The sequence below is a fragment of the Homo sapiens genome, chromosome 14, assembly GCF_000001405.40.
Source record: "Homo sapiens chromosome 14, GRCh38.p14 Primary Assembly".
NCBI classification, from domain to species: Eukaryota; Metazoa; Chordata; class Mammalia; order Primates; family Hominidae; genus Homo; species Homo sapiens.
The window spans coordinates 37,680,372-37,702,609 of record NC_000014.9 but is presented as its reverse complement, the minus strand read 5'-3'; the positions used below and the strand labels follow the sequence as shown (position 1 = coordinate 37,702,609).

The window sequence follows — 22,238 nt, the reverse complement described above, 5'->3', positions numbered from 1 at the left end:
TTTAACATTTGTAATTGTCTTAAAACATGCAGTACATTTTTCAGTATTTTTACCATGGCTTCTGAAAGGCGAGAGACTGTAGAGCAAGCATTCTCAATGGGCAGGTGATATCCCTCCCAGGAGGTAAAAATTGGTGCTTTGGGTCGGGGGAGCACAGTGTGATTAAAGTTTGCTCTTTTTATTTATAAAGCACATACATTCATATAGTATATAAACAGATATACAGTATATCTGGCATATTAAAATTTAATCAGGAGGGGCGATTAGAAGAAAAAAAGCCTTAAAATTCTCTTTAAGTGGGTGATAATGAAAAGGCTGAGAAAAACTGAGTTAGACAAACCTGGATTCTATCACTATCAAGAGATAAGAACTTCAGCAAGTAACCTGGTATCACGAACCCTAAATTTCTTCATGAATAAAATGGAAATTACAACTTCTCCCTTACAGTTGAAGATTTAAATAGGAAACATATGCAAAGCACACAGCACAGTTGCTCGGAATATAGTTACTGCTGCATAAACATTAGGTTCCTTCCCTTTTCTCCTTTCTTTTGAGGATGCTATAAATTATATACTCTCCACAAAAGAATATGCAGATTCCAAAGGAAGGTGAGACCCAAGGAGAAGGAGAACAAACTCCAAGAGCAATGACTTTTGTATGTGATCCCTGGACCCAAGTATACCCAATGATGGTGAAATCTAGTTCAAAAGACTGGGTCCAAGTGTCAAATCTGTGATTTTTTAAATTGTCTATGTGTAGCTAATTGCTTAAATTTTATTACTCTCAATTTCCACATCTGTACTCCAGAGCTGTGATGACAAACAAATGAGATCATGTATGTAACACTCTGGGAATACTAAAGTTACCTTACAATTGGGAATGGGTTCATGTTAATATTGTCAGGAAATGGAGACACAGACCTAGACTGTATACCTGAGGAAGCAGCAGAAAAAAACAAAAACTGCTCCCTCCTCTTTAGTGTCCAAGAACAGAATCAAGTCTTTAAAATCTAGAACTCAAAAGGCAGGATTTATATGACAGTTTACATTTAGCTTAAAATCAAATTACCAGTGGAACTCTTACCTATCTGTTTGTTCTTCATCTGTAAAGCGATCATCTAAGAAAGAGGTTCCAAATTTTCCAAGCAGGGTATCGTGGCCTTTCCTGTTAGCAGTGTGATACACTCGAGAAGCCAGGCGCAAGTCAACAGGCAGCTCCTGGGCTGGGATGGTGGTGCACAGATCATGAAGGTGCGGCATGGAGTAGTCTTGTGGAATTCTGCAACAGAGAAAAGAAAGTGAGCTCCTTTCATCATTTTGTGGACTTTAGATATAAAGTACATTTATACTGACAATTTAGTTCAGGTTCTAAAGACATACATAAATGGAGGAGATCTGATTTAAAACTATAATAATGGTATATAACAAATTTAATATCACAATCTCAGGCCATTGTCCAGAGCTTTAAACTTGTATCCAACTGCCTGCTGAATAGCTCAACCTACACCTCTACAGACAACAGTCTACAGGCATCTCAGGATCAACAAGTCTAAAAACAAACTCTTTATCATCCCACCCCAACCTCTTCTCTCCTGAATTCTGAAACTCAGTCTGTGGACACCATATCCAGCCATCATGTATTACTCCTTTGCTACTCTGGTCAAATGCTAATGTCCCTAAAGAAGTGGAACAATATAGGTAGGGCATTATCCATTAACTAGCATTGATAGAACTCTGGGTTTCTCTGAGTCAGTGTGGCATCTCCTTTCCCACTCTGCTTGGACTTGTATCTCTCTTCTGTCTTTCCTAAGTAGAGAGGATGACATGAAAATCTGCTTTTTTTTTTTTTTTTTTTTTTTTGTGAGATGGAGTCTCACTCTGTCACCCAGTCTCAGGCTGGGATGCAGTAGCACAATCTTGGCTCACTGCAACCGCCGCCTCCCAGGTTCAAGTGATTCTCCTGCCTCAGCCTCCTGAGTAGCTGGGACTACAGGCCCGTACCACCACGCCCAGCTAATGTTTGTGGTTTTAGTAGAGATGGGGTTTCCCAATGTTGGCAAGGCTGGTCTCAGACTCCTGACCTCAAGTAATCTGCCTGCCTTGGCCTCCCAAAGTGCTGGGATTACAGGCGTGAGCCACTGCGCCTAGCCAAAAATCTCCTTTCTTAATCCCCAGTGCCACCTGTAATCCAATCAACAAATAATTATTGAGCACCTACTATATGCCAGATTCTGTGCTAGGTCCTCTACACACATTTTCTCTAATTCCCACAACGAAGCTGTATTGGAGGTATAATTATCCTTATTTTGGGTAGGTCACAAAATTAGTGGGTAAGCCCTGGCATCCAAACACAACATTACTGGCTATTGGCCACATTTCTTGCCTATTAGTGACTTCTGGGTGGAAGTGGCCCTTCTCCAGAAGTACTCCATCCCTACCTTCCTACTAAAGCTTATACAACCAAATGACCTTCTTTTCATCAAATCAAATCCAATCCAATCAGCTTTAGATCTTTAGGTCATGTTCTCTTCTGACCCCCAAAACACAGCTGAGAATATGAATAACTTGTTGAAATTGCTCTTCCTTCATGGGCCTTTAAAGCTGCAATATCCCAGATTTCCATCTACCTCTCAAATTCATCATAATATGACTTAGCCATTGGTTTTCCTTCTCCAGTTTCCAAACTGGGTGTGGCTTCTGAGGTTTGAACTTCTCTTTGTACATTGGAAAAATCATCTTTAGTGTTTCAGCTATTACCTCTGTGCTGAGAGCTCCCAAATCTTACCTCTAATATCACTACCTCAACTAGATTCCTCCTTTTGAAGATAGAAAACATCTTTGACCCCTCTCTCTTTCACCTGCACATCCAATGCAAAACTGAGTTTCTCCCCCGCACAGGGTTGCTCAGGTGTGTTCCTTCTCCATCCTCACTGCCAGCATACCCTTCATCACCTCAGCCTGCGCAGGCAGTCGTTCACCAGTTGGGTTGAGCACGGCAGCCTCTGTCTATTCCCCTCTGCAAAATTCTACCAGATTGATCTCCTTTAAGTGCTCCCTTACCCAGCAAATTGATTGGTTGTTGCTTACTGCATTTGGCTAACTTCCTTTCTCTATGTTTCAAGGCTCCTAGACTTTGGACTTACTTCTAGCATAGTGATTAAGAGTACAGACTCTGGAGTCAGACTGCCTGGGTTCAAACACTGTTTACAATTCTCACTTGGTCATAAGCAAGTCAATTAATTTCTTTATACTTTGTCCTGGATACAGTTGCTTTAAGAAAGAAGAGTGAATGCATTTAGAACAGTGTCTCTCACATGGCAGAAGTTAGCTATTCTCATCAGTTTCCAGGACAAATCATAGGGCTACATCTGTCAGTCCCTTCAGTTATGGATACAGTGCTGTCTACTCTTTTGTCCATGTCTAAATATTCTTCAAACAAGACCTCAAGGACAGACTTCTCTGCCAAGTTTATCTTTTTTTCTTTTTTACAAACTGTCTCTTTTTGTAAGTTGCTCTACTCTTGTGTCACCCATTTTAACCTTTATCTAGAGGGTTAATGCTGGTCTGTCCACTGACCACTCAATATGGCTGGCACTGATTCAGAGATTAGCATGGTGTAAAGAATATAGACTTTGGAGTTGGCTGGGCCTGGATCAGGATCTTGGTTCTAACACTTGCCAACTGTATTACTGACTTCTTTAAAAGTCTTCTGATAAATGAGGATAAAAATCCCTAACCCTTGCCTTTATAAGAACTGATAAAAATAGAAGATGTGTAATTCCCAGCCTGCAGAAATATCTCAAGAAATGGTTTATTTTTAAGGTTGTTACTATTATTTTGTACTACACAGCACCTGACCCATTGCCAGGCCCCATATGGACACTATTGAATCATTAATAGAGAGTGGTCTATGGCATTTCCAAAAGAGCATAGGGCCTAACAAAAATAGGATATGAAATGTGTTCATGTGAAAGAGGAAAAGAGAGGTAAGTCTAAACATTTAGAAATGCCTGAGACAAACAGGCCTAACTGGAGGAGTGAAAGGGGGTGTCCAGAAAGCCAGGACTCCCAGGTACTCTGGGCTCCTAACAAAGGGCTTTTAAAATAGAGGGGAAAAAAAAGGTGTGCTCTGATGTCAAGCTCACCTACACCATCATTCTACCTGAGACAGGTCCTGGCTAGTGGAATGTGTTTGAGATTACATTACTGATTTTTATATTTTCTTTAAAAAGCATCACAACCAATCTGAATTCCCATGCACCCATTATAGTCTACTAACATTAAGCAAATAAATTTCCCTTGGTTATTTACCTAAATAACAATATGCTGCAATAGATGTTTGAATTCCCAAGAATACAATTTAATTTGAGGGCTAGTGAGAAAATTTAGGTTGAAAATTGATTAAAGAAAAAGGAACAGTAAATAAAAGACTTTCAGAAACATTTTCCTAAGATTCTCTTTTATTATATAATTTTTAAAAAATCAGACTTTTATTCCTCTGCATCTCATTCTATTTCTCACTAATGAAAATTTCTAATTTTTGTTTTAATGAATTAAAGCAGTAATATATATATATCAACAAGATCTACAAATATTTTTGGCATGCTCAGGAAAGGCTGTGTGTTTTTATAGCACACTCTTCTTAAACAGGACTATTTGTCATTCTTTGAAACACTAAGACATAAAAAAGAAAAGACTCTGACTCTGTGTGTGGCCATACTACTCTGCTTAATGCACTAAATGCAAGGTTTTTTAGAAAAAAAAATCAAGAAGTTTCTGCTTCATTGATAATCTGACAGTAACTATTTATTGAAGGTAAAATACTTGTTGTCTGCTGTGACTATTTGTTTTAATACATAATCTTGCTAACTAAATGAGCTTAAAGCAATGCAGATAAGCAATGGTATGTACAGGGTCACTTAAATGCCAATTTGACTGTTTCATAAACTTTGGAATTCTTTTCCCATGAGTCTATTCTCAGCTACTAAATTGTGAGTAATATCCATTTACAAAGTTTGAGCTGGCCATAAAAAGGCTGTCTTCCATGTCCAGCATACCTTTCAGTTAGTTCCCTAAGCAACAACAAAAGCTAATAATTAAAGCTTCTTCAAACCCCCATTAAGAGTTAAATGAAGAAGAATCTAGAAGAAACTAACCCATAAAAACTTAGTGGTGAAATAAGGAGAAAATCAGAGTTTCAACAAGGTGACTAGCAAAATGTAAATCATAATCTAAATTGCATTTCCACACTATTATTTAAAATTGTGGTTGTATTCCTGTGTAACGAGAAACTCCATTAAAATTATGGATGTGAGGATGAAGCATGATATTAATGGTAGAGAAAAATAATGCCATCTAAATTACCAAGCAGATGGCTTATGCACATTTTGTGTTGGCTTGTTTTTTATTTTATCATAAAAAAATTAACCAATATAATAAGCAATTGATCCAAATCAGGCATTACAATGACCAAAAATATCAAATCTAACATGCTAACATTTAATTTTCTTCAGTCTCACAAACAGTTATTTTTTCCAGCTATTGTTACATCATGAAAGTAAGTACATTTGTCAAAAACAGAAAAAGAAAAAAGCATAAAGTATAGCACTAACTGTAAAATCTGCCACCAACTTTTCCTGTGAGAAGGTTTAACTTAGGTCTCATATATGAATTTCTAAAACATTTAGTTTTCTTTTTTAAAAATGTATTTTCATGTCTCTATGCTACTGAATAACTCCTCTCCCAATAGAAAAATTATAAATTTAAGAAAATTACTTTTTATGTAGTTTTTTATCACAAAGAGGTTTTGAAGACTTTCTTGGTCTCAGTGATTTACGTTTCCGCATTCGCTTAATTTCTTTTCCTTCGATTTGCAAGAATTCTGGTGATTTTGCCTTTAAGAAAATATAAAGTGTGCTGTTAAGAGAAGATGTAACATGAGAGTTAGATCTTTCTCTCATATTTAGCGAGTCACCTAATATTTAAACTCCAGATTTCTATGTATATGTTATAACAGAATGCTAAAAGTAAATTGATAGTTTCCTCTAAATCCATTCCTAAATTTTACATATATACCTATATAACAATAAAAATATTAGTATCATGTTTATTTACAACATTTTTATTACCTTAAAATTATTGAAGAATAAATATATTTTCCCTCCATAAGTGCACTCTTCTTTATTGGTATTTGTAATAAAACTTGCCCTTATTTCCTTAAAGTTTGGCATGACTGCTGGTTACAACCACAAGCTAAAAAAAACTTTAGTGCTTTATATTTTTGTTTTGATCAGTTTATCAGAATAAACTTATGCAGAATTCATGGTAATCACTCATGTAAAGATATTTTCTCTGTGGGTTTCTCTATATTTTTTTGAGATTAGATTTAAGGAAGAAATCAGGGAGGCCCTCCTTGGGAAAAGCTATGGTTGAATAAGTAGAAGGTAGCCAGATAAAAGGAAGTTAATTTTTTTATGTTAGGTAGGGTTTAGGTTTGATACAGTAGTAAAGAAGGAGCTATTGCAACTTCTTGGGTGATGAAGTAATGAAGAATAAAGAAAGTTCAATGAATACAGAGCATTCCACCTAACCATCTTGGTAATCTGAATTTCCTGTATGGTATTTCCAGGAAAAACACTGAAGTTTTTCACATTTGCTACTAAATCTCGTCATCCCATATCTATGCACTTACTTTGTGGATCCTAAGGCTATCCTAATTAAATTTCATCTGAGATCTGACTAATCAAATCTTTTTTTAATTCTTAATTTTTGTGGGTACATAGAAGGTATATATATTCATGGGGTACATGAAGTGTTTTCATACAGGCATGTAATGCATAATAATTACATCATGGAAAATGGAGTATCCATTCCCTTGAGCATTTTTCCTTTGTGTTACAAACAATCCAATTATACTCTTTCAGTTATTTTTAAATATACAGTTAAATTATTACTGACTGGCCGGGTGCAGTGGCTCACACCTATAATCCCAGCACTTTGGGAGGCCAAGGCGGGCAGATCACCTGAGGTCGGGAGTTCAAGACCAGTCTGACCAACATGGAGAAACCCATCTCTACTAAAACTACAAAATTAGCTAGGCGTGGTGGTGCATGCCTGTAATCCCAGCTACTCAGGAGACTGAGGCAGGAGAATCATTCAAACCTGGGAGGCATAGGTTGCGGTGAGCCAAGATTGTGCCATTGCATTCTAGCCTGGGCAACAAGAGTGAAATTCCATCTCAAATAAATAAATAAATAAATAATTACTGACTATAGTCACCCTGTTGTGCTATCAAGTATTTTGCCTTATTCATTAATTCTATCTTTTGTACCCATTAACCACCCCCACTTCACACCCATCAAGCCTCTCTTCCCAGCCTCTGGTAACCATCCTTATACTCTCTATCTCCATGGGTTCAATTGTTTTGATTTTTAGATCCCACAAATAAGTGAGAATCTGTGATGTTTGTCTTTCTGTGCCTGGATTATTTCACTTAACATAATGATCTCCAGTTCCTTCCATGTTGTTGCAAATGACTGAATCTGTCTTTTTTTTTTTTTTTTTTTTTTTTGAGACAGGGCCTCAATCTGTAGCCCAGGCTGGAGTGCAGCGGAATGATCACAATGCACTGCAGCCTCAACCTCTTGGGCTCCACTGATCCTCTTACCTCAGCATCCCAAGTAACTGGGGCTACAGGCATGCACCATCAAGCCTGGCTAATTTTTGTATTTTTGTAGTGATGGAGTTTTGCCATGTTTTCCAGTCTGGTCTCAAACTCCTGAGCTCAAGCAATCTACACGGCTAGGCCTCCCAAAGTATTGGGATTACAGGAATGAACCACTGTGCCCAGCCTCATTCTTTTTCATGGCTGAATAGTATTCCATCGTGTGTATGTACCACATTTTCTTTATCCATTCTTCTGTTGACGGACACTTAGGTTGCTTTCAAATCTTGGCTGTTGTGTGACCAGTGCTGCAACAAACATGGAAGTGCAGATATCCCTTTGACATACTGATTTCCTTTCTTTGGGGTATGTACCCAGCAGCGGGATTGCTGTATCATATGGTAGTTCTATTTTTAGTTTTTTGAGGAACCTCCAACCTGTTCGCCATAGTGGTTGTACTAATTTACATTCCCATCAACAATGTATGAGGCTTCCCTTTTCTCCACATCCCTGCCAGCATTTGTTATTGCCTGTCTTTTGGATATAAGCCATTTTAACTGGGCTGGGATAATATCTCATTGTAGTTTTGAGCACTTTTCATATGTCTGTTTGCCATTTGTATGTCTTCTTTTGAGAAATGTATATTCAAATCTTTTGCATATTTTTAAATAAATTGTTAGATTTTTTCCTACAGAGTTGTTTGAGCTCCTCATATATCCTGGTTATTAATTCCTTGCAAGATGGGTAGTTTGCTAATATTTTTCCCATTCTGTGGGTTGTCTCTTCACTTTACTGATTGTATCCTTTGGTGTGCAAAAGCTTTTTAACTTGACATGAACCCATTTGTTCATTTTTGCTTTGGTTGCCTGTGCTTATGGGGTATGGCTCAAGAAATATTTGCTGAAACCAATGTACTGGAGAGTTTCCCCAGTGTTTGTTTGTTTGTTTGTTTGTTTGTTTGTTTGTTTTTGTGGTAGTTTTATAGTTTGAGGTCTTAGATTTAATTATTTAATCAATTTTGATTTGATTTTGTCTATGGTGAGACATAGGGGTCTAGATTCATTCTTCTGCATATGGATATCATTTTCCCAGCATCACTTATTGAAGAGGCTCCCTTTTCCCCAGCATATGTTCTTGACACCTTTGTTGAAAATGAGTTTACTGTAGGTGTGTACTGTATTCTGTTCCATTGGTATATGTGTCTGTTTTTATGCCAGTACCATGCTGTTTTGGTTTCTATAGCTTTGCAGTATAATTTGAAGTCAGGTAATGTGATTTTCCTCCAGATTTTTTGTTTTTGTTTTTATTTGTTTGGGGTTTGTTTTTTGTTGTCGTTGTTTGTTTGTTTTGTTTTGTATGGTTTTTGTTTTTGTTTGCTTAGGATAGTTTTGGTTATTCTGGGCCTTTTTTGGTTCCATATAAATTTTAGGATTGTTTTTTCTATTTCTGTGAAGAATGTCATTGGTATTTTGATACAGATTGCATTGAATCTGTAGAATGCTTTGGATAGTATACACATTTTAACAATATTGGTTCTTCCAATCCATGAACATGGAATATCTTTCCATTTTTTGGTCCTCTTCAATTGCTTTCATCAGTGTTTTATAGTTTTTATTATAGAGATCCTTCACTTCTTTGGTTAATTCCTAGGTATTTTGTAAATGGGACTACTTTTTACTTCTTTTTCAGTTTGTTCACTGTTGGCATAGAAATGCTACTGATTTTTGCATGTCAACTTTTTGTCCTGCAACTTTACTAAATTTGTTTATCAGTTCTCATAGTTTTTTGTGGAGTCTTTTGGTTTTTCCAGATATAAGATCATACCATCTGCAAACAAGAATAATTTGACTTCTTCCTTTCCAATTTGGATGCCTTTTATTTCTTCCTGTTGTCTGATGGCTGTAGCTAGAACTTCCAGTATGATGTTGAATAACAGTGGTGAGAGTGGGCATCTTTCAGGTGCTTCAGATCTTAGAGGAAAGGCTTTCAGTTTTCCCCATTCAGTATGATACTAGCTGTGAGTCTGTCATATGTGGTTTTGGGATTTATTTATTTATTTATTTATTTATTTATTTATTTATTTATTTTTGAGATGGAGTCTTGCTCTGTTGCTGAGGCTGGAGTGCAGTGGTGTGATCTCAGCTCACTGCAACCTCTGCCTCCCAGGTTCAAGCAATTCTCCAGCCTCAGCCTCCCAAGTAGCTGGGCTTACAGAAAGGCACCACCATATCTGGCTAATTTTTGTATTTTTAGTGGAGATGGGGTTTCTCTGTGTTGGCCAGGCTTGTCTCAAACTCCTGGCCTCAGGTGATCCACCTGCCTCAGCCTCCCAAAGTGCTGAGATTACAGGTGTGAGCCACCACACCGGTAAAAACCGTATGTGGTTTTTATTATGTTGAGCTATGTTCCTTCTATACCCAGTTTTTGACATTTTTTGTTGTTCATGACGGGATGTTGAATTTTATCAAATGGTTTTTAAGCATCAATTGAAATGATCATAAGGTTTTTGTCTTTTATTCTGTTGCTAGGATGTGTCACATTAATTGATTTGCATATGTTGAACCATCCTTGCATCCCAAAGTGGGATTTATCCCACTTTGTCATGAATGATCTTTTTAATGCATTGTTGAATTCAGTTTGCTAATACTTTGTTGAGAATTTTTCCAACAATATTCATCAGGGATATTGGCCTGTAGTTTTCTTTTTCTTTTTTTCTTTTTTTTTTTTTTTTTTTTTTTTGGTGTGTCTTTGTCTGCTTTTGATATCAGGATAATACCTGCCTCATAGAATGAGTTTGGAAGCATTCCCTTCTAGTTTATTTTTCAGAATAGCTTGAGTAGAATTGGTGTTAGTGCTTTCAATTCAGCAGTGAAGCCATTGGGTCCCAGGCTTTTCTTTACTGGGAGACTTTTTATTATGGATTTGATCTTGTTACCTGTTATGGGTCTGTTCAGGTTTTGTATTTCTTCCGGTTCAATCTTGGTAGATTGTATGTGTCTAGGGATCTGTCCATTTCTTCTAAATTTTCCAATTTATTGGCATATAGTTGCTCATAGTAGCTACTAATGATCCTCTGAATTTCTGTAGTTATGTCTTCTTTTTCATCTCTGAGTTTATTTGTTTGGATCTTCTGTCTTCTTTTCTTAGTCTGGCTAAAGGTTTATTAATTTTGTTTAGCTTTTCAAAAAACCAACTTTCTTATCTCATTGACCTTTTGTATTGTTTTCTTCATTTCAGTTCAGTTTATTTCTGCTCTGACCTTTATTCTTTGCTTCCACTAATTTTTGGTTTGGTTTGCTCTTTCTTTTCTAGTTCTTTAAGATCCATCATTAGATTGTTCATTTGAAGTTTTTCCTCTTTTTTGATGTAAGCACTTACAGCTATGAACTTCCCTCTTAGTACTACTTTTGTTGCATCCACAGGTTTTGGTATGTTATGTTTCCATTATCATTTGTTTCAAAAAAATTTTTCAATTTCCTTCTTAATTTCTTCATTGACTTGCTGGTCATTCAGAAGCACATTGTTTAATTTCAATGTGTATAGTTTCCAGAATTATTCTTGTTACTGATTTCTAGTTTTATTCTATTGTGTTTTTTTGTTTGTTGTTTGTTTGTTTGTTTGACAGAGTATTGCTCTGTCACACAGGCTGTAGTGCAGTGGCACAATCTCGGCTCACCGCAACCTCCAACTGCCGGTTTCAAACAATTCTCATGCCTCAGCCTCCCGAGTAGCTGGAATTACAGGCATGCATCAGCACACCTGGCTAATTTTTGTATTTTTAGTGCAGGTGGGGTTTCAGCATGTTGGCAAGGCTGGTCTTGAAATCCTGACCTCAAGTGATCCACCCACCTTGGCCTCCCAAAGTGCTAGGATGGCAGATGTGAGCCACCACACCTGACCGGTTTTACTCTATTGTGGTCAGAGAAAATGTTTAATATTGGTGGGGTTTTTTTAATGTTTTAAGACTTGTTTTGTGACCTAACATATGGTCTATCCTGGAGAATGATCCACATGCTAAGGAAAAGAATGTGTATTCTGCAACCATTGGATGAAATGTTCTATAAACATCCATTAGATCCATTGCTCTATAGTGCAGATTAAGTCTGATGTTTCTTTGTTGAATTTCTGTCTATAAGACCTGTCCAATGCTGTAGGTGGGATGTTGAAGTTTTCAGCTATTGTATTGGAGTCTCCCTCTTTGACTCCCTAATATTTGCTTCATAAATCTGGGCACTCCAGTGTTGGGTGCATATATAATGAAAACTGTTACATCCTCTTGCTGAATTGACCTGTTTATGATTGTTTAGTGACCTTCTTTTTCTCTTCTTATAGTTTTTTTCCTGAAATCTATTTTGTCTGATATAAGTATAGAGATTCCTGCTCTTTTCTGGTTTCCATTGGCATGGAATATCTTTTTCCATCCCTGTATTTTCAGTCTATGTGTGTCTTTATAGATGAAGTGCATTACTTGTAGGCAACAGATCAATCAGTCTTATTTTTTTAATCCATTCCAGCCACTCTGTGTCTATTGATTGGAGAGTTTAGTCCATTCACATTCAATGTTATGACTGATGAGTAAGGACTTTCTCTTGCCATTTTGTTATTTGTTTTCTGGTTATTTTGTGGTCTTCTCTTCCTTCTTCCTTTCCTGTCTTCCTTTTAGTAAAGGTGGCTTTCTTTGGTGATATGATCTAGTTTCTTGCTTTTTATTTTTTGTGTATCTGTTGAATGATTTTTGTTTTGAGGTTATCATGAGGCTTCCAAATACTGTCTTATAGTCCATTATTTTAAACTGAGAACAACCTAACACTGTTTGCATAAACACACAAACAAGCAAGCAGAAAAGAAAAAAAACTAATAAATTCTCTACACTTTAACTTTATTCTTCTGCTTTTTATCTTCTTGTTTCTATTTATATCTATGGTACTGTTTATATCTTGAAAACTTGTTATAGTTATTATTTTTTGTTGGTTAATCATTTAGTCTCTCTATTTAAGTTTACACACCACATTTATGGTGGTATAATATTCTGTTTTTCTGTGTACTTACTATTACCAGTGAGATTTGTACCTTCATATTATTATTTATTCCTCATTATCATGCTTTTCTCTCTGGTTGAAGTACTCCTTTTAGTATTTCTTGTAAGACAGGTCTGGTGTTGATAAAATGCCTCAGCTTTTGTTTGTCTGGGAAAGTCTTTATTTCTCCTTCATGTCTGAAGGATAATTTCACCAGATACATTATTCTAGGTTTAAAGTTGTTTTTATTCAGCACTTTAAGTATGTCATGCTACTCTCTTGTGGCCTGTAAGGTTTCCACTGAAAAGTCTGCTGCTGGACATATTGGAGCTCTATTGTATGTTGTTTCTTTTCTCTTGCTGTTTTTGAAATCCTTTCTTTATCCTTGACCTTTGGGAATTTAATTATTAAATGTCTTGAAGTAGCCGTCTTTGGGTTAAATTTTCTTGGTGTTCTATAGCCTTCTTGTACTTGGATAGTGATATCTTTCTTCAGGTTGGGGAAGTTCTCTGCTATTATCCCTTTGAGTAAACTTTCTACCTCTATGTCTTTCTCTACATCCTCTTTAAGGCCAATAACACTTAGATTTGCCCTTTTGAGATTATTTTATAGATTTTGTAGGTATGCTTCATTGTGTTTTATTCTTTTTTCTTTTGTCTCCTCTGTGTATTTTCAAATAGCCTGTCTTTAAGCTAATTCATTATTCCTTCTGCTTGATCAGTTCTGCCACTAAAAGACTCTGATGCATTCTTCAGTATGCCAACTGCATTTTTCAACTCCAGAATTTCTGCTTGATTCTTTCTAATTATTTCAATTTCTTTGTTAAATTTCTAAGATAGAATTCTGAATTGATTCTCTGTGTTATCTTGAATTTCTTTGAGTTTCTTCAAAACAGGTATTTTGATGTCTCTATATATTTTGAATATATCTCTATTTCTCTCAGGGTTGGCCCTTGGTGCCTTATTTAGTTCATTTGGTGAAGTCATGTTTTCCTGGATCATTGTGATACTTGTAGATATCTGTCTGTGTCTTGGCATTGAAGAGCTAAGTATTTATTGCAGACTTTGCAGTCTGGGCTTGTTTGTACCCATCCCTTTGGGGAAGGCTTTCCAGATATTCAAAAGGAGTTGGGTGTTGTGATCTCAGCTGTATCTGCTTTAGGGCGGGGGACCCCAAGCCCAGTAATGCTGTGGTACTTGCAGACTCATAGAGGTACCACCCTGATGGTCTTGAACAAGATCTGGAAGAATTATCTGAATTACTAGGCAGAAACTCTTGTTCTCTTCTTTACTTTGTCCTAAACAAACAAAGTCTCTCTCTCTTTCTCTCTCTCTCTCTCTCCCCTGAGCCAACTGGAGCTGGGGATGGAGTGACACAAGCACCCCTGTGGCCCCTATTCCTAGGACTGCACTGGGTCAGATCTGAAGCCAGCACAGCTCTGGGTCTCGCTCAAGGCCTGCTATAACCACTCCCTGGCCACTACTTATGTTTGCTCAAAGACCTAGAGCTCTACGATCAGCAGGTGGCAAAACCAGCCAGACCTATGTCATTTGCAGCAAATTCGCTCAGACCCCGGGTGCAACCAGAGGTGCCATCCAGGAGCCAGGGACTAGAGTCAAAAACCTTAGACGTCCATCTGGCATTCTATTGCACTACAGCTAAACTGGCACTCAAACCACAAAATGAAATCCTTCCCACTCTTCTCCCCACTTTTCAAAAGCAGAGAAGCCTCTCCCTGTGGCCACCGCCATCTCAGGCCCACGAGGAGTATTGCCAGACTCCTGCCAATGTTTCCTCAAGGCCTAAGGGCTCTTCAGTCAGCTTGTGGTAAATGCTGCTTGTCCTGGGACTCATCCTTCAGGGGAGTGGGCTTCCCTCTGACCTAGGGCAGGTCCAGAAATGGTGTACAAGAGCCAAGTCCTGGACTCAAGGACCCCAAGAGCCCACTTGGTGCTCTACTCCCCTATAGCCAAGCTGGTTCCTATGGTGCAATACAAAGTCCTCTTTACTTTTGCCTCCACTTTTCTCAAGCAGGGGTCTCACCCTGTAGCCACCACAGCTGGGAATGTGCCGAGTCTCGCCTGAGACCAGCAAGTCTCAGGGTCTCACCCAAGGCCCTCAACTGGTATCCTTTCTAGTTATTCAGAGCCCAAGCACTTTTCAGTTAGGAGGTGATGAATCTTACCACAACTGGGTCCTTCTCTTCAAGGCAGCCCAGGGCATGTCTAGAAATGTCTGGGAGCTAGGGCCTCATGACACTGACCAGTGCCCTATCCTGCTGTGGCTGAGCTCGGTATGTAAGACGCAAAACAAAGTCTTCCCCACTCTTCCATCTCCTCTTCTAAAGCAAAAGGAAGGAGTCGCTTTTGGAGCCATGAGCTATGCAGCCTGGGGTTAGGGGAGGAGTTATGCCAGCACTCCTTAGCTGCCCTGGCTGGTGTCTCAGTAGGTTGCATGCCTCCCTAGTCCACTATCTCTGAGCCCAGTTCAACCCTAGGACTTACCTACATGTTGCAGTACTTGTGGCCTATATTGCCCTTCAAATTTATTTGGAGCCTCCAAGCATGTTAGCCTGTGGTGGCAAGGCTTTTAAGAAATCAAGCTCCGAACACTGAGATCAGCTATTCCTCTCTGGCTAGGGCTCATTTAAATGCACCCTCTGTGGGCAGGCACCAGCTGAGTTTGGTTAAGTTTTGGTTTCTGCTATAACAAGACAGCACTGAGTTCAATACTTCACACTTGCTGGCTCTCCCTCTCCCCAGGGCACAAAAACACTCTCTGCACCACCCCTCTGCTGCCAACGGGTCAGGGAGGGGTGGTGTCAGCAATGCAAGACTATTTTTCCTGTGTCTTCAATGTCTCTTTCAATGATATGAAGTTACAGTCAGGTTCTGTGTCCTGGTTTACTGTGGAGTGGAGGGGACAATCAATGGAGCCTTCTATTCCACCATCTTGCTCCACCTTCTCCAGACAAATCTTACCAGTAGAATTTTTGATGCTATCTACAAATTCAATCAGCAAGTTTTCCATTTTCTCATCTGATATGGTTTGACTTTGTCCCCACCCAAATCTCATCTTGAATTGTAGCTCCCATAATTCCCTCATGTTGTGTGAGAGACCCAGTGGGAGATAAGTGAATCATGGGGGCAGTTTCCTCCATACTGTTCTCATGGTAGTTAATAAGTCTCACAACATCTGATGGTTTCATAAGGGGAAACTCCTTTCTCTTGGCTCTCATTCTCTTCTCTTGTCTGCCACCGTGTGAGACACACGTCTCACCTTCCACCATGATTGTGAGGTCTCCCCAGCCATGTGGAACTGTGAGCCCATTAAACCTCTTTCTTTTGTAAATTTCCCAGTTTTGGATATGTCTTTATCAGCAGCATGAAAACAGACTAATATATCATCTAAACCATTAGGAAATTTATTGAATTGGACACAGCCCTGTAGCAGTCCACGAGACTTCCATGTACTAGTTGTGCATCCTTTGCATAAGTAGTTACAAATCCATTTAGTAGTCCACCTGACGACAATCTCCTCTACAAAACCAACATTGGGAGGCTTTCATAAGCAGGTTGCTGATATTCCAATGATAATAGCAATAACTAATGTTTATTGAGTTTTCTGTATGTCAGGCATTGTTCTAAGTGCTTTATATTGTAGCATTTACATATAATCCTCACAAAAACAATATGAGGTGGGCACTGTCATTATCCTCATTTTACAATACAGACATATAGTAGAGTTCAGTACTTTGCCTAAGGTCATACTACTAGTAAAGGGTAAAGAGAGGATTCGGTCCTTGGACATCTAGTTGCAGAGCCTGTGCTCTTCCCACGAGACTCATGTTGAACACCAGGTCTAACATTTTTATGATATTCAGTCTAGGAATTCTAGGAAAATAAATGAGGTTAGTCTTCCATGGCTTATCCTTAAGGGACCCATACTCCAAGTGATTACCACTTCCTTTTAGAAGGGTTCAAACACAATTCTTTTAATGAGTCATTTAATAATTCTAGAGTTTTGTCCAAGATCAATGCATAGATTGCAGAAATCTCAACCCTTACACTTAAAAAAATATAAAAGTCATATTTGCAGTTGCCACTCTCCAGGCATTGGCACCTCTCCCACTGCAGCAGCTCCCCAAAGCTGCTGCTGAAAGGTGCAACAAGCTTAAACCCATCTATCTGAGCCATCCAGCAGGCTCAGATATTCAAGTTAACTCTTAAAATCTTTTACAAATCTTGGACTTTAAGTTTCTATTATGAATTCTTCTTTCTAAAGATCATTCTCCCTGTCAGATTTAAAAGACACAAAGCATAAGTTTATCAGCTTCCTTTTCTCTTTGTTATACTTCTGTTTATTTAAAACCTCAACCTTTTTCCAAAAATAAATTAAGGCAGCTGTCATCTCTTGTCATCACACTATTCATCCATATGACAGAGTTATCTTTCTTTTTATTCCCCCTCTCTTTGCTCCAAAACTAACATCAAAAATACTTGTTTTTGTTCTTAACATTATTCATAGGACTAAACCCATTCTGGATCTCGGCTTTCTTGGTACAATTTCATAGCAACATGCCACCTTTATATTTTTCTATGGATATGCATTTCTATGGATATTTTTAAAACTCTAAATGCAATAGATTACTCATACATGTTTTGTGAGAATTTGGGAGATTCAGGACATCCCCATACCTGTTAAACTTTCTTCCATTTATAATATCAGGTCATGTGATCATATCTATATTTTTATAGACTTTCACTGACATCTTCTAAAATGTTCAACCATCCTATTATTGGCTTTGTGTCAGTTATTTCTTCACAGAATCACTATTATTTCTATCTAACTTTCTTTTGTTCGTCATGATTTAGACAAAAATACCAATCACCTTCATTATACTAACGAGCTTCTAAGAGTAGAAATGGCCAATTAGGTAAGGATTGATCAAATTCTCTACTTTTTCTGCTGAACAAGACCTTCCAACATATATCTGAGCAATTAAAGTCCTGCATTGTTCCTTTATTACACCTCTGTGCTACTTCTGTTTAATCATGTCAGAAAAGGTCTTCTTGTCCCCTTAATCCTCAACCTGGCCAGGCTTGCTGGAGTATATTGTTCGTCATTCTGCTAACATTTTGAGCAGAAATGCTAGAAACTAACTTTATGGACTCAAATGTCCACATACAGTGTAAAGTTCATGGATAACAACTGATCTTGAGATGTTAACACAAATAAATAAATATATGATTCTTGGAGAAGACTTGGTGGGAATAGTTCAGTGCTATTTTAGGGCATTTCTGAAGGGTCCCACAATATCCCACAACAATAAGGCATAATATTTTATTAGACATTCTCTTCTCTCCCCTTGAAACATTTCTCATTTCAATTTAGAGTCTTTTTAATCCATTCACCAAGTCACTCTGATCAAAACCTTCTTCCTAGAATGCTTCTTAGAAACATCCAAATGCATGCTTTGTAAAGAGCATGACTGATGGGGTCAGTCACCAACCACAGGATAAGACCCTTGTCCCTGGAAGCAGTGGTGGATTTCCTCTGGTCAACTATTACTTGTGGATCTTCCTTATTACCTGTTATTCATGGAAGATCAATAGGCTAGTGTCATGTAGGATAAACCTGAGAAAACAGGGCTTGAGAAATGAAGAATAACCACTGCATTAATTCAGACATAAGGTCACCAGGACCCAGACTAGGATGGGGTAACTAGAAAAGAGAAGAAAAATAACATTTGGGAATAACATTTGGGAAACTCCAAGCCTTGGAGATTGATTTATATGTAAACAGCAAGTGAAGAGGAAGGCCACAGACAAATCCCAGGTTTCAGAGTTGGGAGTCTCGGGCAAAAATTGAAGAATGAGGAATGGCCAGTTGACCTCAGTGAAGCGTATTGGGAACATAATCATTGGTGGGGAGGGGAGACCCAGAAGTAGAGGAATTACCCAGAGAGGCATCCATCTGAATCAGTGTGGGAGAGGATTTCTGGTGATAATCAAGATGATATGCTGTGGTTCAAGGAAAAGGGTCTGTTTTTTTAATGCTAATAATATATCTATTTTTAAATAAATTTATTTAAGTAAAAAAAGTGACTCAAATTAATGAAAAGAATTAATACAACAATCCTCCCTTATCTGTGAGGCATATGTTCCAAACCCCAGTGGATGCTTGAAACCTTGGATAGTACTGAACCTTATATACATTATGCTCTTTCCCATACATACATATTGATGATAAAGTTTAATTTATAAGTTAAGCACAGTATAAGATTAACAACCATAACTAATAATACAATAGAACAATTATAACATACTGTAATAAAATTTATGTGAATATGTTATCTCTCTCTCTCTCTCTAAATATCTTATTGTCCTATGTGTATTCACCTATTTCCACACTGCAGTTGACCACAACTAACCAAAGCCTCGGAAAGTAAAGCCAAGGATAAGAGGAAACTTAAACCCTACAGTAAAGGCAGGGTGATATGCAAATATGATAAAAATTATGTAAACAATGGATAAAATGAATCTTGTAAACATCCTCACAGTAGAAAAAGACTCAGGGGTTAGTATGAACCTAAATGAGGTAAAGTTATAAAAGCTATAAAATTCACCAAGTTCTATTTCCTAGACTACAATTCCTGACTTCCTCGAGATGGTAACTAGAAGATTCTTGGCCAATTTCTAAAAGACCTAAAAATTCCTTCCCTCCTTGAAAATGTTTCCTCTCCCCAGAGTTGCAATTAGGGTTGACACTAGAAACCCTCAAAAAACATGTTTCCTTTTCCTAAGTGGGCAACTTGCACTTCTGAGGCCCCCTTTTCAGAGTGAACACACCATCACCCCCGCCCCCAGCCCCATACGTTGGTCCTTGCCTGGGCCAATTCTTCACACCTGCACATCCTCAATTCTCATAACTCTTAGGTGTTTCCAACATAAATAGTTTCTTACCGTTAAAGACACCCACTTGGCTTCTTTTGAATCACTTGTGGGCTGTCCATCTTCCAAAGGTTTACTTAATTCCTCTGCTGGCTGAACTTGCGAAATTTCCTGAGGTTTAAATACTATGCTTTCTGCTTCTGAGGGTCCCCATTCTATATCCTCTTGTTCAATCTGGAGAATACTTGACATGGTTTCAGAAAGTTCCTTATGCACGCTCTGTTGGAAAAAGTAAATGTGCAAGAATGCTTTTTTTTTATTGGTCCTTCTAGGCTTTTCAGTGATGCAACAGTTTCTATCTGACAAGATGAATATGAAAACGCATGCTTGAAACTAAGCATAGGTGATGAGTTTCCTCTGAAGATTTAGAAAGAGAAGCTCAAATTGACTTAAGAAAAATGTCAAGGCTGGCAAATTATTTTCCTCAGCCCTTGTCTCAGAAACTACAGCCACCCCACAGTTGTTAAGGGTAAAAGATGGCATACAATACCAAATACTATGAAATTTTCTTTATTATGCAAGAAGGTATAGCTAGACCAAGAAATTTAATTTTGTAAAATAGAACTTTAATCTTGAACTCATGTTGGTTCTTTTTTTTTTCCATATCACAAGTCATCAAGCAGGAGCTCATGTTTTTATAAAGCTACTGGATGGTGTTATGGAAAGATTCAGAAAATGTTTTTAACCAGATGGGACTGAATTCAAATCCTGGATCTGTTAATTAATAGATGTTTGACCTTAGCCAAGTTACTTAAACTTTTTTAGCCTCATTTTTGTCACTGGTCATCAGGATAGGCTATGCCCAACCAAAAAAAAAAAAATTAGTGGTTCGACACACTGGAGCAGTGTGTTCACTACAAATCAAAGTGGCTCTTTAGGGCAGGTATACTTCTCATGGTAGCTCAGCCATCTAGGCTGCTTCCAGGTTGTAGTTCCTTCACACCAGAACACAGCTTCTATGGTCACCACAGAACAGTGACCATATCACTTTCCTTCACACCCCATTGGCCACAAACAGCTACATGACCCCATCTAACTGCAAAAGGGTGGGGGACATTTGAATATTTAGCAGGGAGCCATTCAGCTGCTCCATTGGCTTGACTCACATCTTTACAAGGGATATATCTTTTTTTGTACTTAGTTTGTGTGTGTGTCCTCTGCAAGCTGAGGAAGAAAGAAGCCAATAGTGACTCGGTCCAAGTCCAAAATTTTCAAAGGTAGGGAATCTGACAATGCAGCCTTCAATCTGTGGCCAAAGGCCCAAAAGCCCCCAGCAAACCACTAGTATAAGTCCAAGAGTCCAAAGGTCAAAGAAGCTGCAGTCTGATGTCTGAGGGCAGGGGGGATGGATGGAAGCATCCATGACCCGGTACCAAGTCGAAAGGTATTTTACCTCTAAAGAAGTGGGTCAGCTTCCTTATAAAAAGCCAGAGGCCAGAAGAGGTCCAGTGATTGCCTGTAAATGTCAATGCTTAGGGAATGGTTCCAGCAGAATTACAAATAAATTAATATTTTTGTTTAACTCTTTATTTTAAATAATCAAGACGATATCTAAGCTAAATATCTGATTGTTGGCCTTTTTCACAGTTTCCTTCAAAATGGTATCTTTCCTTATACTTTATATGAATGTAGTGAATGGTATTAAGTTTATTCTATTAATGAAGATTTCTATTTGGCTAAACCTAACTGATATTGTACTTTCAGTTTACTATACCTGTTAGAGGCGTCGAGGTCAGAAGTTTTGATATATATTTGTAAACGGTGTCAACTAGAGGCAGCTACCCTAGATGTCAGTCTTAAGTCCATAGCATATGTGGTAAGCCTTCCTAATTGATATATCCACATACTATTACAAAGGGCTACTAGTACCATCTCATGCTGGATCATAAGGCCAGTGATAAGAATAGAAAGGAGAAAAATATATGGGCCCAAAGCATCTCAAACTCCAGTAGTTCTACCATTTGTGGTAACTCTAACATTATAGGACCCATAGCTTTTGTGAAAAGAAAAAATTCCATGCACTTTCTGAACATGATATGCTAACCTAAAAATGAAATATGATCACGATTTTATGTATGTGGGGGTCATATTTCCAGGAACCACAGGAGCTTGTTATTTAATGGTAACATTTTATGAACTCTTTGTAGAGGAACTGACCATCAGGCTATCACTTTTCTATGTAAATGTGAGTTTCTATACACAAGGAGATACTTTCCATTCACAAGGAATATGTTCCAGATTGCTTTGAATCCAATGGTTATTTTACCAATGATGGATAAAAAGAAAGATTTATTTCCAAAACAAATTTCTGTCACCAACTGTCCATATTTCTCAACCAAATTCTCCCCTTGCAATGCTTTTAACAATTCTTCTAGCTGAATACAGACAAAAGTAATGCTTTCTTAGAAGCTAACAATTTTTAATTAATTATCCACCTACCTTCTAGATCTAAATGTCTCTAAATCAGAATTGTTAAAGTCCTCCCCTTCTAAAAAGAGTCTGGGGCCTTAGCTCAGAAGGTCCATGGTAGCCAGCAACAGTGAGCCAAAATGGCCAAGACTCCCAGTGTGGTATCGAGTTAGATGCTCTCACAGGTAAACACACT

General features: G+C 38.0%; 1 protein-coding gene across 13 annotated transcripts in view; it reads right to left on the bottom strand.

Annotated features, from left to right (window-relative positions):
• Window positions 1-22,238, bottom strand: part of TTC6 (tetratricopeptide repeat domain 6) — a 247,089-nt gene that overhangs the window by 140,108 nt on the left and 84,743 nt on the right. For all 13 annotated transcript variants that reach the window (XR_007064009.1, XR_001750287.2, NM_001310135.5 and 10 more), the window contains 3 exons: window positions 19,646-19,852; window positions 5,775-5,893; window positions 1,084-1,278 (listed from right to left, as the gene is read on the bottom strand). Coding sequence is in view for 11 of the 13 variants with exons in the window: in NM_001310135.5 (NP_001297064.2) it covers window positions 1,084-1,278; window positions 5,775-5,893; window positions 19,646-19,852 (521 nt within the window). In the remaining 2 variants the exon portion in view is untranslated. The remainder of the gene's footprint in view (window positions 1-1,083; window positions 1,279-5,774; window positions 5,894-19,645; window positions 19,853-22,238) is intronic.